Source organism: Homo sapiens, chromosome 1 (assembly GCF_000001405.40).
Source record: "Homo sapiens chromosome 1, GRCh38.p14 Primary Assembly".
In the NCBI taxonomy this organism is placed as follows: domain Eukaryota; kingdom Metazoa; phylum Chordata; class Mammalia; order Primates; family Hominidae; genus Homo; species Homo sapiens.
The window spans coordinates 201,036,738-201,058,291 of NC_000001.11; the positions used below are offsets into that span (position 1 = coordinate 201,036,738).

General features: G+C 52.7%; 1 protein-coding gene across 2 annotated transcripts in view, besides 3 other annotated features; it reads right to left on the bottom strand.

Annotated features, from left to right (window-relative positions):
* The window catches only part of CACNA1S (calcium voltage-gated channel subunit alpha1 S), a 72,915-nt gene continuing 54,135 nt past the window's right edge, over positions 2,775 to 21,554 (bottom strand). The window contains exons 29-44 of one of the 2 annotated variants that reach the window (NM_000069.3): positions 17,768 to 17,824; positions 16,722 to 16,850; positions 16,472 to 16,537; positions 15,820 to 15,911; positions 14,247 to 14,406; positions 13,652 to 13,779; positions 12,266 to 12,362; positions 11,845 to 11,947; positions 10,788 to 10,889; positions 10,378 to 10,502; positions 7,591 to 7,719; positions 6,544 to 6,794; positions 4,767 to 4,852; positions 3,885 to 3,976; positions 3,494 to 3,637; positions 2,775 to 3,345 (exon numbers count right to left, since the gene is read on the bottom strand). In NM_000069.3, the coding sequence (NP_000060.2) occupies positions 3,094 to 3,345; positions 3,494 to 3,637; positions 3,885 to 3,976; positions 4,767 to 4,852; positions 6,544 to 6,794; positions 7,591 to 7,719; positions 10,378 to 10,502; positions 10,788 to 10,889; positions 11,845 to 11,947; positions 12,266 to 12,362; positions 13,652 to 13,779; positions 14,247 to 14,406; positions 15,820 to 15,911; positions 16,472 to 16,537; positions 16,722 to 16,850; positions 17,768 to 17,824 (2,013 nt within the window). In that variant the 3' untranslated portion in view covers positions 2,775 to 3,093. The remainder of the gene's footprint in view (positions 3,346 to 3,493; positions 3,638 to 3,884; positions 3,977 to 4,766; positions 4,853 to 6,543; positions 6,795 to 7,590; positions 7,720 to 10,377; positions 10,503 to 10,787; positions 10,890 to 11,844; positions 11,948 to 12,265; positions 12,363 to 13,651; positions 13,780 to 14,246; positions 14,407 to 15,819; positions 15,912 to 16,471; positions 16,538 to 16,721; positions 16,851 to 17,767; positions 17,825 to 21,554) is intronic. The other variant, XM_005245478.4, reaches the window with a different exon arrangement.
* Positions 15,192 to 15,692: an enhancer, noted in NCBI's record as "H3K4me1 hESC enhancer chr1:201021057-201021557 (GRCh37/hg19 assembly coordinates)". NCBI's record gives its function as "activates a minimal SCP1, AML or CMV promoter by ChIP-STARR-seq in naive H9 embryonic stem cells {active_cell/tissue: H9 hESC(naive)}" and the evidence as "EXISTENCE:reporter gene assay evidence [ECO:0000049][PMID:30033119]".
* Positions 16,280 to 17,237: an enhancer, noted in NCBI's record as "H3K4me1 hESC enhancer chr1:201022145-201023102 (GRCh37/hg19 assembly coordinates)". NCBI's record gives its function as "activates a minimal SCP1, AML or CMV promoter by ChIP-STARR-seq in naive H9 embryonic stem cells {active_cell/tissue: H9 hESC(naive)}" and the evidence as "EXISTENCE:reporter gene assay evidence [ECO:0000049][PMID:30033119]".
* Positions 20,751 to 20,870: an enhancer, noted in NCBI's record as "active region_2308". NCBI's record gives its function as "activates an Ori minimal core promoter by ATAC-STARR-seq in GM12878 lymphoblastoid cells {active_cell/tissue: GM12878}" and the evidence as "EXISTENCE:reporter gene assay evidence [ECO:0000049][PMID:35858748]".

The window sequence follows — 21,554 nt, forward strand, 5'->3', positions numbered from 1 at the left end:
GAGTTTGGGGGTGTTCAGGGAAAGCCTTTTGCAGGAAGCAATAGCAAAGCTGAGGTTTGAAGGGTGACTAGAGCTCAGTCAGGTAGAGGGCTCAGAACATTTCCAGAGAGAACAGTACATGTGAGCTCAGAGGTGAGAGCTCCCTCTGGGTGGGGCGAGTAGGAGACTTGGGCAGGGTCTGATCTGGGAGAGGCTTGTGAACCCAGGCAAGGGTTTTGCTCACTATTCAGAGGGCTTTGGGGGTGCCTTTAAAAGTTTTCAGCAAGGAGACAAGATGAGTGGTTCTTCCTTTTAGAAATATCAAAGACAGATGGGAAGGAAGAGAAAAGAGGAGATTGGAGGCCCGTTCAAAGGCTGTCACAATAGATAAAGCATGAGATGATGGTTGAACGAATCAAGAAAGTGACCGTGAGGATGAAGGGAAGGGAGACAGATGTGAGAGATACTTAGGAGGGCAAATGTGCGGGGCATGGTGGGAGGGGGAGGTAGGCATCCAGGACAACACCCAGACTTCTGGTTTGAATAAGGATTGGGTTTCCCCGAGACCAGCAATACCAGAGGAGTAGCAGGCTTTGGGGAAAGGATAAGAGGCCACCACTGGACAAGGTGAGCATTAGGCACAAGTGAGATGTCTATGCAGAGTTGTCTGGGAGGAACAGGATACAGAGTCCTGGAGTTTAGGGGAGATTTTGACTAGAAATATGGATTTTGGAATTACTGGCACATACATGCAACTAAGATATGAACGTGTACTACATGAGAAGAAAGGGTCAAGGAGACAGAGTCTACCTGAGAAGTAGGCAGGCCAAGGGGGAACTCCCAAGGAAGCTTCAAGTTGGAACACTCGAGGGGTAAGAGGAAATTCAGGAGATCTGACACTCGGGGGATTTTCAGGCAGGGAGCGGGCTAAATTGTATCTCATGCTGCCTAGAAGTCAAGTAATGTAAAGATGTGAGAGTCCACTGGGTTAGCAACCAGATAGTTGGTGACATTGGTGAGCGTGTTTCCAGAGAAGCGATGGGGCAGAGGAGGATTGCCTAGAGAGGAGAAATGAGAATGGAAGGAGAAATAGAAATGTGGACAAGGAGACCACCCAGGTAAGAAGTTTGGTCCTCAGTCAGCAGTGGTGGCTCACGCCTGTAATCCCAGCACTTTGGGAGGCTGAGGTGGGTGGATCACTTGAGGTCAGGAGTTCAAGACTAGCCTGGCCAACATGGCAAAACACAGTTTCTACTAAAAATACAAAAATTAGCTGGGCATGGTGGCACACACCTGTAGTCCCAGCTACTCGGGAGGCTGAGGGAGGAGAATCACTTGAACCCAGGAGATGAAGGTTGCAGTGAGCTGAGTTCATGCCACTGCACTCTAGCCTGGGTACCAGAGTGAGACTCTGTCTAAAAAAAAAAAAAAAAGATAGATCATAGATGATGGATGGATGGATGATGGATGGATGGGTGGATGGATGAATGGAAAAACAGAGAGGGAGACAGAAATAGGGAAATAGGATGGCTGCAGGGTCAGGCTGCTAGGAGGGAGGCACCTGGAATGTGTTCCATGCAGCTAGAAGGGGCCTGTGGAGAGGCAGAGAGAGGGGATAAGGGCTGGGGTAGAATCCGAGCAGCTGGCAGGAGAGAACTGGCTTCCACTGGGTCAGAAGGGAAGGAGGAGAATGAGACAGCAGAAACAGGTGGGTTCATCAGTGTGGAGACAGGAGCTGAGGGAGGAACCTTCTGGTAGCTTCTATATATTTTTTTGTGTGTGTGAAGGGAGCAAAGCTAGCTGCTGGTGTTGGGGTTTCAGGAGAGAAGGGCGTTGAGATTGCTGCACTGACAGGGACTAGGAAGCATTGGGGCCCTGTTGAGACTGGGGGAAGGGACGTATAGTGCATTAAGAGTGCGAGCGTCCCTGCCCTGCATGACTGATACCCTAGGCCCAGCTGAGAAGCCCAGAAGCCGACTGGGGGTTCGCTAGGAGGCTGCATGGGGAGGCCAGCTTGGTTTCCATAGCAACAGCCACAGAGCAGGCGCTTGGCACAGGCTTAATGATGGAATGGCGAGAAGAGCAAAGAGTCCAGTGAAGGGGGAAGGATGCTGTGGGGACATGGAGGGCCCGGTGCAGAGTCCTGACCTTGCCTCTGGCTGTGCACCCCAGGGCTGTCCCATCACCTCTGCATGCCTCCATTCCTTCATTTTTAACGTGGAATTCACATGTACTTTGCATGGTTGTGGTGGCAATAAAATGAATATTGTACATGAAGGTGCTTTGTAAACAACGTATTGCAGCCCCTGGCATGAGAGCAGGTGTGTAGGTGGCACGCAGGAGGCACTTGGTAAATAGTAGCTACTGTTACTCATAGTTACTTGGTGTGGCTAAGAGGAGCCCTGGAGAATGTAGATCTTTGATATTCAAGGCAATAAACAGGGGGCAGTTGAGGGCTCTGAGAGCCTGTGTTGGCAGTGGACTCTGGCCAATGCAACATGGTCGTAGCTTCGAAGATGTTTGGCCATGGTGTGACCTGGGGTGTGCAGCTGCTTCTGAGACCACCAGTCCTTTCTGGGGCTGCTTGGTCCCAGTCAGTGGACTTGGCTGTGGACTTCAGGAGAACCCACAACAGGTCCCTCTCTGCCTCATGCAGAAAAATAATCCAGATGGCCCCTCTGTCTTTCTCCACAGCCCAGTCTCCCAAGCCCATGGGCAGGGTTCCTGGGGAAGGGACTGGGGAGGGGGAAACACAGGTGTAGAAGAGTCCAAAAAACTGGACAAGCAGAGGCCAGTTGCCAGTGTCACAGGCCTGGAGATTTTAATGTCCTGCAGGTGGGAGTGGCCCTAGGCCAGACAGGCACTGACCAGGCCTTTTTGAATGACATTAGAAGCTCCATCCAATCATGCCTCTTGCTGGTGAGGGGCAGGGCCTGTCCAGCTACTTCCTCCGCACTTTTTGAGGTGGTTCCTGACCACCCTGCCTCAGGCCATGCATCTAGCTGCTGAGAGGGAGGGAGGCTGCTGCGGTGGGCTAGCCCTTCTCCACCCCAGCAACTTCCCCACCCCCATTGGTCATGCCAGCTCTAAGCCCATGCTGATGCTGTGTGGGCATCACAGCCTTGGAGGAATAAGGGTCTCCTGGGAGCCCTGGTGTTGGTCGAGGCTGCCCAGGGAGGACCCGAGGTTCAGGCATCCCAGGGAGCTGGCCATGCCCTCTGGGGCCTCTCGTCCTTTCAGTAGCTCTGTTGCCATGATCTCCACTTCCTCTGGTTCCATTTGGCAGGCATCTGCCAGGGCCTGGCCTGTTGCCATGATGAAGTTTGCATCAGCTGCCAAGGTGCCCAGGCCCCCTCGAACCAGAGCCTGCAGGGAGGAGAGTAGGCTGAGTGGGGTCTTCCTGGGGAGCCACATTTGGGGACCTGCCTCTGTTGGCCCTACCCTCTCTCCACGCCAGGCCATCACAGGGCCACCACTCAATGCAGCCACTGCTGTGACCCAGCCCCTGGCTCACCTTTTGGATCAGCAGGGCTGTAGCTGGTGCTGAGCACCTGGAAGTATTCTCCCTGGTGCTCCTGCTGTGGGGTGTCTCCTCATGAAGAGACCCTGGTGTGGAGCTCTTTCTGTCCTCAGGCATGGAGGACTCCACCCTGGGGCACTGTTCCAAAGGTACAAAAGCAAAGACCCCGACAGGGGTGCTGGAGCCCACCAATGAGCAAAATTCCAGATCATCTGAGGGCAACTCAACCAAGATCCACAGAAAGGGGAGGATGGAGGGATCCCGTCCCTTCTGTACTGTTGGACACATTGCTGCCACAGCCTTCCCCTGCCATGATCCCACTCCAAGTATCAGGCCAGGCAGGGTCTCTGTATGGAGTTTGCTCCCAGGCCTCTGCCACTGTTACCTGGCAGGGGGCAGGAGGTGCCTGGCCTCTGGGCATTGCCCTCTGGGTCAGCAGTCCCTTCAGCATCTCCACACAGGGTTTGCTGTGGGGTCCTGTATGCAAGAAGGGGCAAGGATAAGAGGGGCTGCTGACTCCTGCCAGGAGCCCTGAGTCAACAGAGGCTCGCTTGGCTGGCTAGCCACACTCTGTGAGAGCTCTGAGATTCTCAGGGCTGCAGAAGGTGTCTTAGAGGGTGGACACATGATGAGGCCCAATCAACTCCAGGCCAGGCAGGGCTGCCCCAACTTTACTGGCCCTGGTCGCTGTTCTTGAAGGTTTGGGAGAGGGGATAAGGGCCAGAGTCTCTGGCCAAGCTGGTCCTCTGTGGTCCCTGGGTGTGTGCACATTAAAGTGAAAGTGTGTTGGGGAACACAGCAGTATCCTTATTGCCACTAGCCCCCAGCATCCTTGGGGCTCCTACTGTCACACAGCAGTCTAGGACATACTAGACTACAAGATCATTTGCAGAAGGGCCCCAGAGTCAAGACGTCAGTGTGTCCAGGGGCTGCCCTTCCAGGGACCTGGGGCGGTGTGGGGACTCCTGTGCTGGGGATGGTGTAGGGGGCTGTGTGAGTTTCCTGGGAGGCCTGCAGAGGGCCCTTTAGCATGAATGGGCTTTCCCCCTTCCACCTCACTCAGCCACCTAGATGGTGCCCTGCTTCCCCCCTGGACAAGTAGCTGGTCCTGATGGTTTTCCCATTCCAGGGCCCAGATGACTGCCATTGTAACAGGCTCCCAAGCCAGCCCTCCCAGCCAAGTTCCCAGACTCTAAGAAAAGAGTGGGGCTTCCCGGACTCCTCTGGGAGAAGACTCAAGCTTCTTAGATGCACAGAAGGGACTGACCCAGGACCCTGCAGGGTTGGCCAAGGGCTCGTCCTCTGGTAGCAGGCGTCTCTGTCTCTTCTGGGAACTCCCTTTCATAGTGGACACTGAAATGGAAGCAAGGCTGGGTGAACCAGAGAAGGCTGCTAGCTCTCTCGGCATCCCTGCCTCTCTGGCCCCAAACATCCTTTTCCCTCAGAGCCTGTACAAGGCCAACCTAGTGTAGCAGCCGTGACTCTAGGGCTGACGTTTCCACCACTGTGCCCCAGCCAGCCCTGACTCTCTAGGAGGAAGGAGTCCAGAGCATTCCTGACTCCACTCCTTTGCTCAGTTGCTCCCTCTACCCTTTCTACATTCTGTTCATCTTCCAAGGCCCAGCTGCAGCCTCCCAGCCTTTGGAACCCTGCTTCTCCATCTTGGCCACACATAGGATCACCTGAGGAGCTCAAAGGTGAGTGGTGGCTGAGTCCCACACCCAGCATCTGTGGTGAGGCCCAGGCATTGGGATTTGCAGAAGCTCCCTGGATTATCTAATGCACAGCCAAGGCTGAGAACCATTCTAGGTCTTTCCAGCCCATGGTGATCCATACCCCCTCTGCACTCTCAGGACACTAAATATCTGTTATTATTTGGTGTTTTTTGTTTATTTGTTTTGTTTTGTTTTGTTTTTTTGAGACGGAGTCTTGTTCTCTCACCCAGGCTGGAGTGCAGTGGCACAATCAGCTCACTGCAACCTCCACTTCTTGAGTTCAAGAGATTCTTCTGCCTCAGCCTCCCGAGTAGCTGAGATTTCAGGCATGCGCCACCACACCTGACTAATTTTTTGTGTGTTTTTAGTAGAGACACGGTTTCTCCATGTTGGCCAGGCAGGTCTCGAACTCCTGACCTCAAGTGATCCACCTGCCTAGGCCTCCCAAAGTGCTGGGATTACAGGCATGAGCCACCACTCCTGGCCTCTGTGATTATTTGGTCCCAATCATATCACATAACATATCACCCAACAAGACGACAACCCCCTTCAGGGCAGGGCCCAGGGCTGATGCTTCTGTATTTCCACGTTACCTTGCACCATGGTGACCCAAAAAGGTACATGCACCCTTCAAGGCTTGTGGGCTGAATTTAAGGGGTCTCTGTGACTGGAAGGGGTGCAGGCAGCCCTGGCCATGAAAAGGGGCTGGCTGCTGCCTTGTTCTGCTTATTCCTGAGGCCTGGGGCTAAGCCTTTCCAGGCCGAAGAGGCCTCCAATCAGCTGACCTCCTGTCTAGAACAGAAGCTTTGCCTGAGCCTAGCCCCTAAGTTATGATTGCTGAGAAGTTCTCCCCCTCATCCTGCTGTTTTTTATGACACTTACGTAATCACAGATTATATTTAGTCTACAGCCCAAGGTTGGTGAGATGGGAACCACCCAGCACAGCGGGATCTCCTTGGAACCTAAATCCAGTGATGGAATCTTATTGTCCACAGTCTTTTGTGGTATGTGCTACCACCGAAGATCCTCTCCTAACCTATCATGTGTTCAATACGTCTCAGCTCCTAGACTTGCTGAAGCCGACGGAATAAAAGAACCTCTCAACACTGGGGCCAATACTGACATGATGTGAGGCTTCCCCCTGCTGGCCAAAGAAGCCTCTGCCATCGAGGTCGGCCTCTTACATTAAGGTTCAGGATGGATTGGGGCACAAAGGCAAGCAAAAGACACCCTACAAATTTGGGGTACCCTCTTCCAATCCAACCTGGAACCTGCTGACATTGTCCTCCCAGTACCTCTACACCCAGGGATGGCAGTGGCCGCCACTACCTGGAAAACACATGGCTGTTGCTATGGTTGCTGTTGCCATAGGCGACATTGGCGTTGGCATTGTTGGTATTGGCACGAGCCAGGGGGTTGGTGCGTGGATCTTGTGGGAAGTCCTCCAAGAAGACAGGTGACTCCATCTCTTCCATCTCTATCTCAGCAAACTGGAGGGGTCTCTGATTGGCCATGACGGGGGGCAGGGAGTTGGTCCTTTCCAGGAAGTTGTCCACCTGGCCAAACAGGCCTCCAGTCCTCTAGGGGCAAGGAGAAGAGCAGTGACTGGGGGTGAGGGCAGGGAGGGCATGGGGGGCTGTCACTCTGGGACAGTGGTATTGGGAACAAGCAATAGTATTGGGAGACAAATCTTATAAGGCCAAAGGAGGATGGACTGAGTGGTGAGATCAAAAGAAGAAAATTCCCACCCTTAGAAAGTTCTTTGTTTGATGGGGTAGACAGCACACACCTAAGGAGGTATATAGGGGACACAGGCACACAGAAGAGAAGTGTGGTGTAGGGGAGAGAGGGCTGAATCGGGAGTCTGCAGCACTGGGTTCTAGTCCCCGCTCTGAAACTGATTTACTAGGTGATATTGGACATCTCACATGATCTCTGTGGGCCACTATTTCCTCATGAATAACCCAAAAAGACCTAACTAGGTGTCATTAAAGACCTTCCAGCAATAAAGTGTTATAAGAAACATGAGACAGAGCTAAGGATGGAGGACTGGCCTCAGTGGAGGCAGGCAGGGCATTTGATCCTGGAGGGCCTCTGGGAGATGGGTCGTTGCCTAGGGTTTGTGGGGAGGAAAGGGAAGGGGTGAGATTTGGTAGGGAAATGTGGGAAAGAGTGTGTTGCATTTGACACCTCTAGTAGATCAGGTCATTGATTCTGAGTCCCAGGAGAGGTGGGTGGTGAAGTGGAGAGACGGAGTGGGGTATCTTCAGCTCCCATGTCCCCCTCTCGTGTGGCTGGGCTCCCAGCCCTCCTCTCTGTGAGACACTGCCACTCATGGTGTCTAGACCACTAGGGGTGCTCCTGGCTCTCCCTCACCCGGAATATTCCCTCCTCCATCGCAGCCTCCACCATGGCTCTCTCCAGCTCCTCCTCAGCAGCCAGGTCTCCTGAGACCGTGCGACAGATCTCGGGGGCTGCCTCTTCCTCAATGGTCCGCAGCCCTGCCTGGGGATGACGAAGGGACTCAGTTATCTCTCCAGCCCAGGAGAGGAGACCAGAACCACTTTTTCTTTTTTTGAGACAGAGTCTCACTCTGTTGCCCAGGCTGGAGTGCAGTGGCACAATCTGAGCTCACTGTAACCTCTGCTTCCCGGGTTCAAGTGATTCTCCTGCCTCAGCCTCCTGAGTAGCTGGGATTATAGGCATGTGCCACCACTCCCTGCTAATGCTTGTATTTTTAGTAGAGATGGGGTTTCACCATGTTGGCTAGGCTGGTCTCAAACTCCTGACCTTGTGATCCACCCACTTGGCCTCCCAAAGTGCTGGGATTACAGGCATGAGCCACCGTGCCTGGCTAGAACCGCTTCGTATGGCTTACTTGTTTCTTATCACTGTACCCAGGGCTCTCCCAAAGCCCCAGCCTAGGCCCCACTCTCCCTCTTGGGTTATTGAATATCTCAGGTACCTGAGAGGCCACCAGGTCCTGCTCTGGCCTCTGGGATAGCCCACACCTTAATTGTTCCAATTGAGTCATCTCTTGACCCCATGGGTGGAAATTTCATGCCCTTCCCAGGCTTCCAGGTTGAGAAGTGTTCTTACTCAGTACAGTCTTCTAGATTGGTGATCTTTATTGATTGGATATGTCATATATATATAGTTGAGCAAAGTTAATATCACCAGTAATGGGACAAGTCAAGACTGGTGTCACCTAATAGCTTGTAATGAGAACACAGAATCATTTCTGTGGCATTCTTATCCAAGATGCATATCCTAGTAATCAGACAAACCCCAACTGAGGGACATACTGACCTGCAGTCTTCAAGTGTCAAGATCGTGTCAAGGAAAGACTGATGAACTCTTCCAGATGGAAGAGATGAAAGAGATAAGGCAACTCAATGCACTGTCTGATTCTGGATTGGATCCTTTTGCTATAAAGGACATTTACTGGGACAGCAAATGAAATTTGAATGGGGTCTGAGGATTAGAATGTAGTAATGTATTAGCCTGGCATGGTGACTCACGTCTGTAATCCCAGCACTTTGAGAAGCTGAGGCAGGCAGATCACTTGAGGTCAGGAGTTTGAGACCAGTCTGGCCAGCATAGCGAAACCCCATCTCTACTAAAAATACAAAAAGTAGCCTGGCATGGTGGTGTGTGCCTGTGATCCCAGCTACTCAGGAAGCTGAGGCATGAGAATGGCTTGAACCCGGGAGGCAGAGGTCGCAGTGAGCCAAGATCATGCCTCTGCACTCCAGCCTGGGCGACAGCGAGACTCTTGTCTCCAAAAAAAAAAAAAAAAAAAAAAAAGCATCAGTGTTAATTTCCTGATTTTGTGGTTATGTTGTGGTTACATAGAAGAATTATGCAGGATAACGCCCTTGTAATACACATTTTGCCTTGAATACACACAATGCCTTGAAATATGCATTAAAGTGTTTTTGGATGATGGAACATCATTTTGGAGTTACTCTCAAATGGTTCAGAAAAAAAGGTTTTATATTATACTTGCAACTTTTTAAAAGTATGAGATTATTTCAAAATAAAAATAGCCATTGAAATAAATTTTTGAGCACAGCTCAAATGCATGTGTATTTGGGGGTTTTATAAATTATGTGCATTACAGTGAACCCAAAAATAGAAATAAAACCAGATAAGATAAAACAAAAAGTTCTAAAGTTTTCTTTTCACACCCAATGGGACATATTTATTTATTTATTTATTTATTATTTATTTATTTATCTATCTTTTGAGATGGAGTCTTACTCTGTCACCCTTGCTAGAGTGCAGTGGTGCAATCTCACCTCACTGCAACCTCTGCCTCCCAGGTTCCAGTGATGCTCCCGCCTCAACCTCCCAAATAGCTGGGATTACAAGCGTATGCCACCATGCCCAGCTAATTTTGTAATTTTAGTAGAGATGGGGTTCTACCATCTTGCCCAGGCTGGTCTCAAACTCCTGACCTCAAGTGATCCGCCCTTCTTGGCCTCCCAAAGCGCTGGGATTACAGGTGTGAGCCACCGCACCTGGACCCATACCCAGTGGAACATTTTAAGAGCCCTTCATGGATCACCTTTCTTTAGAGAGAACTGTTCTTTTTTTTTTTTCTTTTGAGACACAGTCTCACTCTGTCGCCCAGGCTGAGGTTCAGTGTCTCAATCTCGGTTCACTGCAACCTCCGCTTCCAGGGTCAAGTGATTCTCACGCCTCAGCCTCCTGAGTAGCTGGGCACATGCCGCCACACCTGACTAATTTTTGTATTTTTGGTAGAGATGGGGTTTCGCCGTGTTGGCCAGGCTGGTCTTGAACTCCTGACCTCAAGTAACCTGCCAACCTTGGCCTCCCATAGTGCTGGGATTATAGGTGTGAGCCACTGCGCCTGGCCTAGAGACCACTGTTCTTATCTAACTTGTCTCTCCCTTGAACAAATCCTATTTTCTTTGGTCCTATCATCCAGAGATGAAGCGCCCTGGTTCTTTTTTTGAGGTTGAAACATCTTCAATCATGGACTACCCAGAACTGTCTTGACATTTTTTCACTCTTCTGGGCTTCCTTTTTCCCTCTATGTCTCCATCATTGGCCCCTCAAGGACATGGAAGGATAACTAGAGTCTGGAGACCTGGCTCAGTGGGGGAGCCCCTTGGAACATACCTGGATTGGGCTTACCTGGATCTGTACAATGTCCTTCTTGGGCCGATAGCCATAATACTCCTCTTGGCGTTTCATGAACTTCCGGAAGTGCTCCTGGATGAGGAATGTGGCGTAGAACTTCCCCACTGTCACCTCATCATCTGCAGAGGAGCCAACAAGAGATGCCCTGAAGGCTAGTGGGAATCTGACACTGGATTCAGAGTGGGAGCCAGCTGTAGCCAGGCCCGGGCATGCAAGCAATCCTTTGTCTTGCTGACTTGGTCACTGGGCACTTTCCATCCTGAGGTTGGATGCCCGTGGGATCTACCTAAGGCATTTATGGAGGATCTGGTCCGTTCTCAGATTCCCATGGGGCTCCTTGGAGAAGCTCCCCACTCCCATTCCTTGGCTGCTTCTGGACTCTGGTCCCCCAAAGTAGCACCTACCTCCTATTGGAGGGATGACCTGGTCCAAGAGCTTCATGCTGGTTCTCTTCCAGATCTTCTTGATGATGGCCCTCAGCTCCTCGTTGGCCTGCTCAAAGTTACCTGGAGCAGGAGAAAGGCAAAAGTTACCCAGATCACACCAACTGCACTTGACAAGGCCACCCAGTTCTTTCTGAACCTTTCAGACAGCCAGTCATTTACTAAGAAACATTGGCTGAGTTTTGTGGCAGCTGCCTTGCTGGGTACTGGCAATGGTGGGAGGGCATCACTGTCCCCCTGGGGCAGCCCAACTCTTGGGTCATGTACTTTCTCCCCACAGGCCTTGGCTTCCAGTGCCCAGAGTGGTTGGTTTTACAGGCTGTCATCTCCTGCTCTTCTTCCAAAATCTTTCAATTCCCCAGGCACTGTGGTCTGGCCCAAATACCCCCAGGCAGACTTGCTGCAGCTCTAACCTGCTCCTTCCTGACTTCTGGTCTTCCTCATCTTGCCCTGCTAATGAAGCTCACCCTGAGGTTGTCTCAGACTCCTGGAGTGGTCCCCATGTGGGGATGGACCTGATACAGCTGGAGACTTGAGCTTGATACAGTGTGAGCCCTGAGCAAGGGCTCAGAGACAATACTGAGACCCCACCCTGACTCCTTCCCCTGCTCCCACCATGCTTGTCTTCCCAGTAGGTGAGGACCTGCAGATTTAGTGGAGTCGAATGTGGACTCCCGTCAGCCTGCCCAGTGCTGCCTGAGAACCTCCTCTGCTCCTGCTCACAGCCAAACTGCAGGGCACCCCTGACCCCTGTGCCAGCACTGGCCCTTCTCTGGCCCCCAGACACAGCTGAGGAGTGTGGGAACAGACCCTTGATGATCTTTGCCCTGCAGAAAACCCTCAGGCTCCCTCTGAGCCCTGAGGGGCATGAGGACTTTGTGCCCATGGCCTGGGGTCCTCCCTCTACTTCTTCCCACAGTTCTTAAGAGCAATCTTGAGCTCTGAGAATCTGGCAGAATCTGTGCCAGAAACAGCCTCTGGGAGAAAGGAGGGGGCTCACATTGGAAGGCACTCTCACCTTCCGTCTTGATCTTGAGTGCCGTGCGGACCAGGGCAAAGAGTGTGGCATTGAAGGTGACTGTGCCGTCGCTGTTCAGGGGCATGTTCATGCCCACCAGCCGCTGTACAGGGAGACGCAGTGGCCTGCCGCTGAGCTGGGACCAGGCCAAGCTTGGCAAGTCATCCTCACCCGGTCTGTGGACCGGGAGGGGACGGGACACGAGGGCTGGGGGTGTCAGCTGACCAGGACATCCTTTGTGAGGGGACAGAATGATGAGTTGGGTGACATTGCTGAGACTTCAGGCCCTTTGGGAGGAACTTGGGGACCCAGGAGATCCCGGCTCTACAATGCTTCACTCCATCAGGTCCTCACCAGTTTCCCTCTGCCTCAGTGACTCTTCCCCTCCCTGGGGCCACCCATCCCTGGCAGCTCTGGTTACCTTACAAGCTACCCGATGTGGGCAGAACTTCCCAAAGCCCAGAGGGGGCTGAATCCTTCTCAGCAGGGTCACCACGTCCAGGTGTTTGATTCTCCCCCTGCGGGAGGACACACAGACTTGTGTACCTGCTACCCTCCTCCGCTGCCAGAACCTTTCTGCTCAGAGGATGGGCAATGGGAAAGAAAGCCAGGAAACAGGGGAGCATTTCCTTATTTTCCAACTGTGTTTAGGAAGTGGGAGCCCAGCTCCCTTTTAAAAGAAGAGACAATGTTAGGATTAACTGTTGTCTACAAAATGGGTACCCCAAAATAGGCTCTCTCCTTTGGCGCATTCCCTCAGATATGGGATAACCAGGTCTGGAATCCAGACCTCATTTTCCCTATCAGTATCTTTCTTAGGTTTTGGTCAAGTTAATAGGGGCCCTTGGGCTATATTAATAGAAGTAGTGGGTGTAGATCAAAGGAGGTGGAAGCCCACTTCCAGAGGCTGGTCCAGAGCTGGAAACCACATTTTCATTGGCACCGTGACTCCCAGAATAGACATAAAACAGAACAACCAGGGAGGTCAGATCAAAAGACAAGCATGGCAAGAGCAGCTTGTGAGTGTTGCCTGAGAAAAATCATTTTGGAAAGTCCTACTGGCTTCCTCTTTTCTTTGATGGGCAGGCTGCGAAAAAGAGATGAAACATTCCCCGCCTGTCTCCAGAGGGCTGAATGAGGACCTGTGGGTGGCTGGTAGAGGCAAGTAGGTTTGGCTCCTGCTGATGGAGGCACTTTAAAGCACGGTTGCTATAGGCACCAAACAGACCTGCACTGTATCTTGGCACCATCTCTTACCAGTTACATGGACTGGGGCAACTTACTTAACCTCTCTGAACCTCAGTTTCCTCATCTGAGACTGAGACCATCGGGAGATGCCTATTTCCTATCGGGAAGGAAAGTAAGAGAGCCGTGCTCTCCAAGCTTTAAATGCATACGAATGTCCCAAGGCTCAGGTTCAGAGCAATGCAAGAGTTAGATTCAGTCAGCCTGGGAGGGGCCTGCGACTCTGCATTTTAATCAAGCTCAGCTTCTGCTGGTCAGAGGACCGCACTTTGATTTGGGGTCTAGAGTGTCTGGTGAGGTATATAGCTTCCTACTCCTAGGAGTGTTCAAGCAGGAGCTGGATGACAATTTCTCAATAAAGTCAAGGGTGTTTCCACCCCGGAAAGCTGTAGGATTCCCTCCAACCTGGAGATACTCTGATTCTCTGATCTGAGACCTCAGATAAATGAAGGGGGAAGGAGAAGCCCACTCATACTGAATAAACTGGAGAGTGACTCCCTGTGAGACGGTAGGAAGGGTCTAGGATGGAGGGCCCAGCACAGAGCCTACAGATTGGACTCACTTAGCCTCTGGGTCATACTCTGCCCAGATGGCCTTGAACTCATCCAGGTGATGAGGGCCCAGGATGGACCAGTCCCGGGTGAGGTAGTCAAAATTGTCCATGATGACAGCCACAAAGAGGTTGATGACCTGCAAGAGAAGAACCAAGGGGTCCCAACACAGAAAGGCAGGTGGTACAGGGTTAGGGTGGGGGAGCTGGGAGGTGTCCACTGGCCCACAACTTCTCGCTTCCTGTGCCCTTGATTCTAGCCCTTCTGAACCACCCACATCACACACACAGCAATGCTCTGTCATGTCTCTGTGCTCTTGCACAGACAGTGCTCTCTGGCCTTGCTAAATTCCTTTTGATGAGTGCTAACCAAAACAAAAAAAAAAAGTAAGAACTTTTGGCAGCCTCTCTGGAGTATGAAAAAGCACCCAGGAAACAAAGCCACACTCAGGATGACCAGAATGGGGGACAACCTAACTAGAGCCTCCTGCGTCCCCGAGATGAATCCCAGGAGAGGTGGAAACTGGCCAGGAAGGGGCAGGCAGGCTCCCCCATGCCTCAGCTTATCAAAGCCCTCTCCCTGCCCCGCAGGCCCTCAGCATCTCACCAGGAAGGCACAGAGCATGTAGAAGCTGATGAAGTAGTAGTATGCAAAGTTGGTGCCACATGTGTACTCCTCCCCTGGGGCATAGTCCGACTCTGGGTCACACAGCTTCCCATAGCTGCAGGCCAGTAGGATCTCCTGCCAGGCCTCACCTGTTGCACACCTAGAGGACAGAAGAGGCTCCTGTCACCTATCTGCTCCTGCCTGGCCCCTCAGAAGGCTGGCAGTCAGGTGGCAGCAGGGTGTGGACAGATGAGCAAACTGGGGCTGTTGTCCAATGGTAAGGAGGTCAGATCTTCATGTTCACTGTGTAGCTCAGTGTGAGCTGGGCCTCAGTTTCCCCTCTGTGCTGCAGCCCTCATGGGGTGTTACAAGCAGGAGCTAAACTTTAGAGAAGAGGGCAAAATCAATCTGATTCAAGTTACTAGAGGGATGCACTGTTCTGACCAAAGCAAGGCAGGGTCATATGTCACAGAGGCCTCAAAGAGATTAACTGACTCCACTCTCTGAGGTAACCCCACAGTTGAACCCAACTGGCTGAATTCAACTGCCACCCACTCTGGCTGAGTCACAAAAGCAGCCCTTAGATTTCACACCTTGTGGATGTGTCGCTGTTGAATGAAGAATCTCAATGCATCCGAGGTGCATATGCATGACATGTTTGCATTTTTCCAGTAACTGCTACAACCTGCTCTGTAGATAACCTCCCTCCACCTCTCCAGCTGGGAAGAAGTGTCTCCTCTAGTCACATTCAGCCAGACTACATAACTTCCCACTCCTTTGTGTCTAATAACTGTCTCATTTCAGCTAGCTCCCTTCCTTCCTAGAGCAGGCAGTGCAGGGTGGCCTCGGGTTTGGAGTTGAGGTGCAGAGCTGGGGCGAGGTGGGAATCTCTGCCTGCACACGGTGAGGTGCCGGTCTCCTTTTCACAGGCCATAAGGGCTGCAGGCTGCTGTGACCTCATGGAGCCTTTGACACGCTGTGCCAAGAAGGGGCCCTGGGTGTGGGTGTCCCTAGGCCTTGTCTGGTCTCAGTAGAGCATTCCACTGTGGGCCAGGAAGCTCACCTCTCCCACCTGGCTCCTGCACGCCCAGCAGGCCTGCAGCCCAGGATCCTCGGTTGCAATCCAAGCTCTAGCTCCTGTGCCCTGGCCAAGCATAGGCCCCTGCGCCCTACCTGTGGCAGCGCCCCCCACCCCATCTGGAGCTTTGCTCTGCCTTTCCCTGCATTCCTGCTCATGCTCTGGGAGCGACGAGGGCAAATGTCCGGGAGAAGATATCTGACCTCTGTCTCTTGCTTCATGGGGATGAGATGGGAGGAAAATGCAGCACTTCACTCAGTGGAGGAGCCCAGTGCAAAATAAAGCTGTGGGACCACTTGTTCAAAATGATGAATATCTTCAAGGCAGTGACGGCAGAGCATGCAACCAAGCAGGGGACCCTTCTGAGTATAGGACCCTGTGTGGCTGCACAGGTCACACACCCATGAAGCCAGCCCTGGCTCCAGTGCACATTAGAACAGAGCAAAGGCTGGACTGGTCAGCGGGGTAGGGGTGGGGGTGGCGGGAGACGCGTGCCTGAAGAGCAGTAGCACAGCTTGTGGGAAGGTCTGGAAGTTGTTGTTCCGGTTTATTTGGGTCCCATCCACCAAGGCGATCTTCCCAAACATCTGCAAGTCACAAAGGGCCCTGACTGTGGAACCTAGATTAAAGTGTCCCCTCAGCTTATCCCCCACTGCCTTCTCCTGCCTGACCCCTACCTTCGCCCCTACTTCCCCAAAATTCCCTTCATTGCGGGCCACATCAGACCTGAAGCCAAAAAAAACGGGATTATTTTCTAGATCAGGTAAAGTTCTTCTTAGCAAGCCAAAGAAAAGAGGGAGGGTAGACCCGTTTTCCCAGCAGCAAGCAGACCCGGTAAGTCAATGTGTGGGGGAAGTGCTCTCAGGGGAGGGTAGACAGAGGCCACCCAGGGCTCCAGTCAGGCCTTAGAGAGACAGCCTGGCCCCTGCTGTCCACCCACATGCCCAGGTTTCTCCTGGCTGGCATCCAAGCATCTGACACTCCAGCCATCCACGATCAGGGAGGTTGTCCCTCCTTCTTTCTCACGAGCAAGGCAGGGAGGGCGGAGGGTCCAGCCCGTGTGCTGCTCAGGCTCCTCAGGGTCCACTGATGCCCCCTCTAACTTGGCCAAGATCCATGCTTTGGCCTGGGCCCGCCTGCCTCTCACCTGCATGCCGATGACAGCGTAGATGAAGAAGAGCATGACGATGAGCAGAGCCACGTAGGGTAGGGCCTGCAGGGCGGGCGGGAGCGCCAGTCAGTGTCTTAGGGCTCCACTGTGTGTCTGCAGCCCTGCCCTCTGTTAGCTCCCCAGGGCTCTGCCTTGCCCAGGGCTCCCCTGGGGCCCACCCTGGGCTGAGGCAGATGTCCCTAGTGGCCTCCCCAGGTACGTGCAGTTTCCAGGGTCCCTGTTGCACCTGGAAGGACTTGATGAACGTCCACAGGAGGGTTCGCACTCCTTCTGCCCGGCTCAGCAGCTTGATCAGCCTCATGACACGGAACAGGCGGAAGAAGGCGCTGGAGATGCGGGCACTCTCATCTGGGTCCTGCGGGGCAGCAGCCCCAGAGGTCAGTCTGGGGGCAGAACCTCAGAGGGGTAAGGGGCAGGGCGGGGAGGGAGGTGCACTGTGTGTTTTGGGGAGATGTTTGTGGCATGGAGGAACTCCAGCCCCGCCTCTGGCCCCTGCTGTCCACTAGTTCGGGACCATCCTTGGGCACAGGGCTCTGGGGCTGTTCAGCTGGGAGGCAGGGAAGAGGACGTGGGGCACCAGGCAGCGTGGTGAAGCCCACACTTGGGAGCAGTGGCAGGGATTTGCCCTGGGGTGTGGCTGCACCCAGGCCCACTGCCTGCCCTCTGGGACCTGCTGCACATCTCACAATCTCCTCAAGCTGCCACTGAGTCGAGGACCCTGGTGGCCCTCCTAGGGCTCCTCCCCTGGCGTCCTCCCAGTGCAAAGATTTCCCAAAGCTTGGCTGCTCTATTGCCACAAACTCAATGTGGCTACTCCCCATCACTCCCACCCTGCACACGGCTGTTCTAAGCCAGGCAAGCCTCTAATCTTGTGCCAGCCTTAGATACACGAAATACTCTGGAAGGGGAGAGCTGCCCCTGCTCTGCTTCCTGTGTCCTCAAAGGCCTTGTGCCCAATGAACTGTCACTAAGGTCCTTTGCCAGCGATCACAGTTCTCTCTGGACTGTGTTTCCATCTGCATAGAGGGTGCCAGAGAGAACCCGCACTCCATCTCCCAGGGCTCTGAGGAAGCCGCTATATCCATGCACACTTGACTGCAGAGCCTCTGCCCCCACCCGAGCCTAGCCTGGGTCCTCAGCAGGGCCTGCCCTGGGGAGGGAGCCCTGAGTGCTGATCCACCCCATGCAATCCACGCAGCCAGGCCCATGCATGCAAGTGGCAGGGCAGGAGCTGGTGAGCGTGCCAGGCAGGCTCGTGCAGCCTGAAATTACAACGTTCCCGCAGCCTCCACCCAGGCAATACAGTCCCCCGCTGGAGGCCAGGAAAGTCTGTGGAGAAAAGAGACGAAGGGAGGGGAAGGAGAGGAGAGAGAGGAGGAGGGACATGTGGGAGGGAGGTGAAGAGACGTGTCAGAAAGGACAGACACACAGAAGAGTTAAAGAGAAAAAGAGGCAGGGGCTAAAGACCCCACATGGCTGCCAATCAGGGGCGGGGTGGGTGGGAGTGAGGACTGAAGCTCTGTGGGAACTGTGAGGCAAGAGGTGGGGGACAAGGAAATAAGAAGGGGAGGGAAGGCTGGACACAGACAGATCCCTTCTCATTTTGGAGATGCAGCTACGGGTGGCAAGGGTTTGGGTTTTTCTTATGTGTTTGGGTTATGTGATGCTGGGGACGTCCCTAATGAAGGCGCATTGGAAGATGCCTGCTCATTGTAAATGGATTCACATCCATAGTGCCCTGAGGCCAGGGTCCGGGCCCCTGTGGAAGTCCCATCTCCCAGGGGCACAGCTCCTCTGGGGGAGTCTGAAATCCCCACAGCAGATGTTTCTCTGTCCAGGACTGGACCTGGGACCAAGGCTTCTATCTCAGTATTCGGGCTCTTGAAGAGCAGGTGGGTAGGTGTGTGGGAGCAATTTCTTCCTGTTTACTCCCTTGGGCCACACTTCATGAGAAGCCCTTGTTCTGCAGCCCTGGGTCAAAAGAAGTCATTGTTTTATCTTCCAATTATCCACAGGTAGACTGATCCCTGGCATACTGGTCTTCTCATTAAACAACAGATTTTCCCTGGGGCAGATTTTCCCTGGACCACTGGTTCTCCACCCTGGCTGTATGTCAGAATCACCTGAAGAACTCGAAAAACACATATACCTTTGCTGGGTCTGCACTTAGGTCAATTAAGTCAGCTTCTAGGGGATGGGGCCTGGCTTCAGAAGTTTAAATGCACCCCAGGTGATTCTCATATGCAAGCAAGGATGACGACCAGTGTTCTATACCTGTGCTATCCAATATGGTAGCCATTAGCCACATGTGACTATTTGAATTACAATGAAAATTGAATAAAACCAGAAATTTGGTTCCTCAGTTCCTCTAGCCACCTTTCCAGTGACAAGTAGACATGTGTGGCTAGTGGCTACTCTATTGGACAGGGCAGACCATTTCTGTCCTTGCAGAAAGTTCTAACCAATGTGCTCCCCTAGTCCTTTCCCTGGTTTGTACATCAGGTATGTAAATCAATCTTCACGTGACTTTAAGCAAACACTACTGGTAAGGGACATCTGCTAAAAATCAAATAAAAACCAGTGACACCCTCCTGGCCTCCACCACCAAAGACACTGTTTTGATATATCCAGGCTTCCGCTACACAGACCTCAGATTTTAAGAAGTAACTATTTTTAGTTTGGGCTGTTTATTTTGGCTGTTTAGATTTCTCTGTTCTGGCTGTGCTGGTGAGAAGTGCTGCTGTCAAACCATGGAGGCTTTTGGGATACTATTTCCCAGCAAAAACTGAGTGTGGATGGAAATACACAACACACACACACAGACAGACAGACAGACAGACACACACACACACACACACACACACACACACACACTGGTTTTGCTCAGAGCCCACCCTGCCCCTCGCTAGCTCAGCGCCCCCAGGGGATCTGAGCAGATGGGGTTGTCTGTCACCGTCTGTTCTGTGCATGGAGGGTGAACAGGGTTCCCACCCTGGCCCTCCCCTAGCACATCAGACAGACGATGTGACAGCCAAGTCCCTACTCCCTGCCAGAGCTCAGCCTCAGCTGAGGGCTCCTTCCTCAGAGACTCCAGACTTTTCCTCAGCCATTCCTCTCACCCACACCCCACCTCAGGCATCCCCAGTGCTGATCCTTCCACCCCTATACCCAACTCACCCTAAGGTTCACCCCACAGGCTGGCACAGCCTAAGGGCTTTCTGTTGAGCAGTGGGCAGTTCAGAAGAAAGCCCTATGCATGGGTGAGCCCCTAGCTTTGGGACCAGTCCCCTGCTGGGATCCCTCGTGGTCAGATCAGCCAGCCCTTGGGTGACATCCCACCATGGCTCAGAAAGAAGAATGCTCATCTTTCTCTCTTTTCCACTGTGTCCCTCCCAGGATGCCACTTGGGCAACTGTTTTTTGATTTTGGCCTCTGACTCTCGGATCTTCTCCACCCTCCTTCGTTGCAGCAACCTTCAGCTACAGACCCCTGGCAAGGCAGCCTCTGGAGGGATCGGCTTCTAAGGTCTTGAATGTGGACCTCTCTGGCTGGAACTGCCTCCCTGCTCCTTTCATCCCCTTCATAAGGCAGGTCCTGCTGCTGTTTCTCATTCCACCTCCAAACCCTCATCCCCTTGGTCCAGATTCTGGGAGCCTTCCTGTCAGCTCAACCTTCAAAATAGATCCAGACACTGATCCCTTCTCACAGCCTCCACAGCCAGCCCCGGCCCCCATCGCCTCTCACCTGGATCACTGCGGGAACCCCCTGACTGCTCTCGCTGGGTCAGCCCTCTTGTCCCCTACAGTTTAGTTTGTTCGCAACACAGCAGCCACAGTGATTGTTTTAGAACTAAAGTCTGTTCACACTTAAACCCTCCAAAGGGTTCTCATCTCCCTCAGAATAAAATCCAAGATCATAACCATGGCCTTCAAGGGCCTAGATGATCTGGCCCCTGCCTTCTCTCTCTTACCTCATCTCCACCACTCTCTCCTCCAGCTACAAGGGCCTCCTGCTCTTCCTCAAACTCAGCAAGCACCATCCTGCTGCAGGGCCTTTGCACTGCTGTCGTGTTCTGCCAACACTCTGGCCCCCGTTCTGGCATGGCTCATGCCCTTGCTTTCTTCAGGCCTCTGCTCCAGTGTCATATGGACACCACCCTCCCATTCTCTTCCACTCTAAGCCTCTAACTCCCTTTATGTTTCTGTATAATACTATGTACTTGTCATACCTGTCATATTAGAGATTGATTTATTTATTGCCAGTTTGTTCCACAATTTTGTTCACTGCTGTATCTCAGGCAGCAAGAATCATGCCTGGCACATGGGAGGTACTCAGTACATATTTGAGAAATAAATGAGTGAGTCTTCTAACTGGGTCTCTTAATTTTAGTCATCCTCACTTCCTGTTGCTCATCTCCAGGTTAGCTTTTTAGAAGCAGGGCTCTAAGGGCTCAGCGCGGTGGCTCACACCTGTAATCCCAGCACTTTGGGAGGCTGAGGCAGGTGGATCACTTGAGCCCAGGACTTGGAGACCAGCCTGGGCAACACGAGGAGACTCCATCTCTATATTTCAAAAACATATTTTTTAAAAAAGAAGTAGGACTCTAATCCTCCCACTGCCCTGTTTAAAAACCTTTAGTGACTTCCCACTGCCTGCTCCATAAAGCTGAAGCCCACTCTCACCGCTTAGCTCTCCAGCCTTGCCCTCTCTGTTCTCTTCTCTGCATGTTCTTATGCTTCCAATAAACTGGACCACTCAGCATGCCCTGAACCTTCTTTGCATTTCCTGCGCTGTGCCTCTCCTACAGTAGCCCTGCCTGAGGTGCTTGCTCTCCTCTCCAGCTCCAGTCACCACCTCCCTTTCCTTCAGGCAGATGGCACCACCTCCATGAAGCCTTCTCTGACCACCCCACCCAGAGACGACTTTCCTTTCCGTTACAGCTCTTGCCTTTGATAGTGTAGTAGGTACACCCATTGTGTCCCCCTGGTATCTGAGTTACCTCTCTGCCCAGCAGGATGATAGTTCCTTGAGGGCAGAAGCCGTGACTTGTCATTCCATC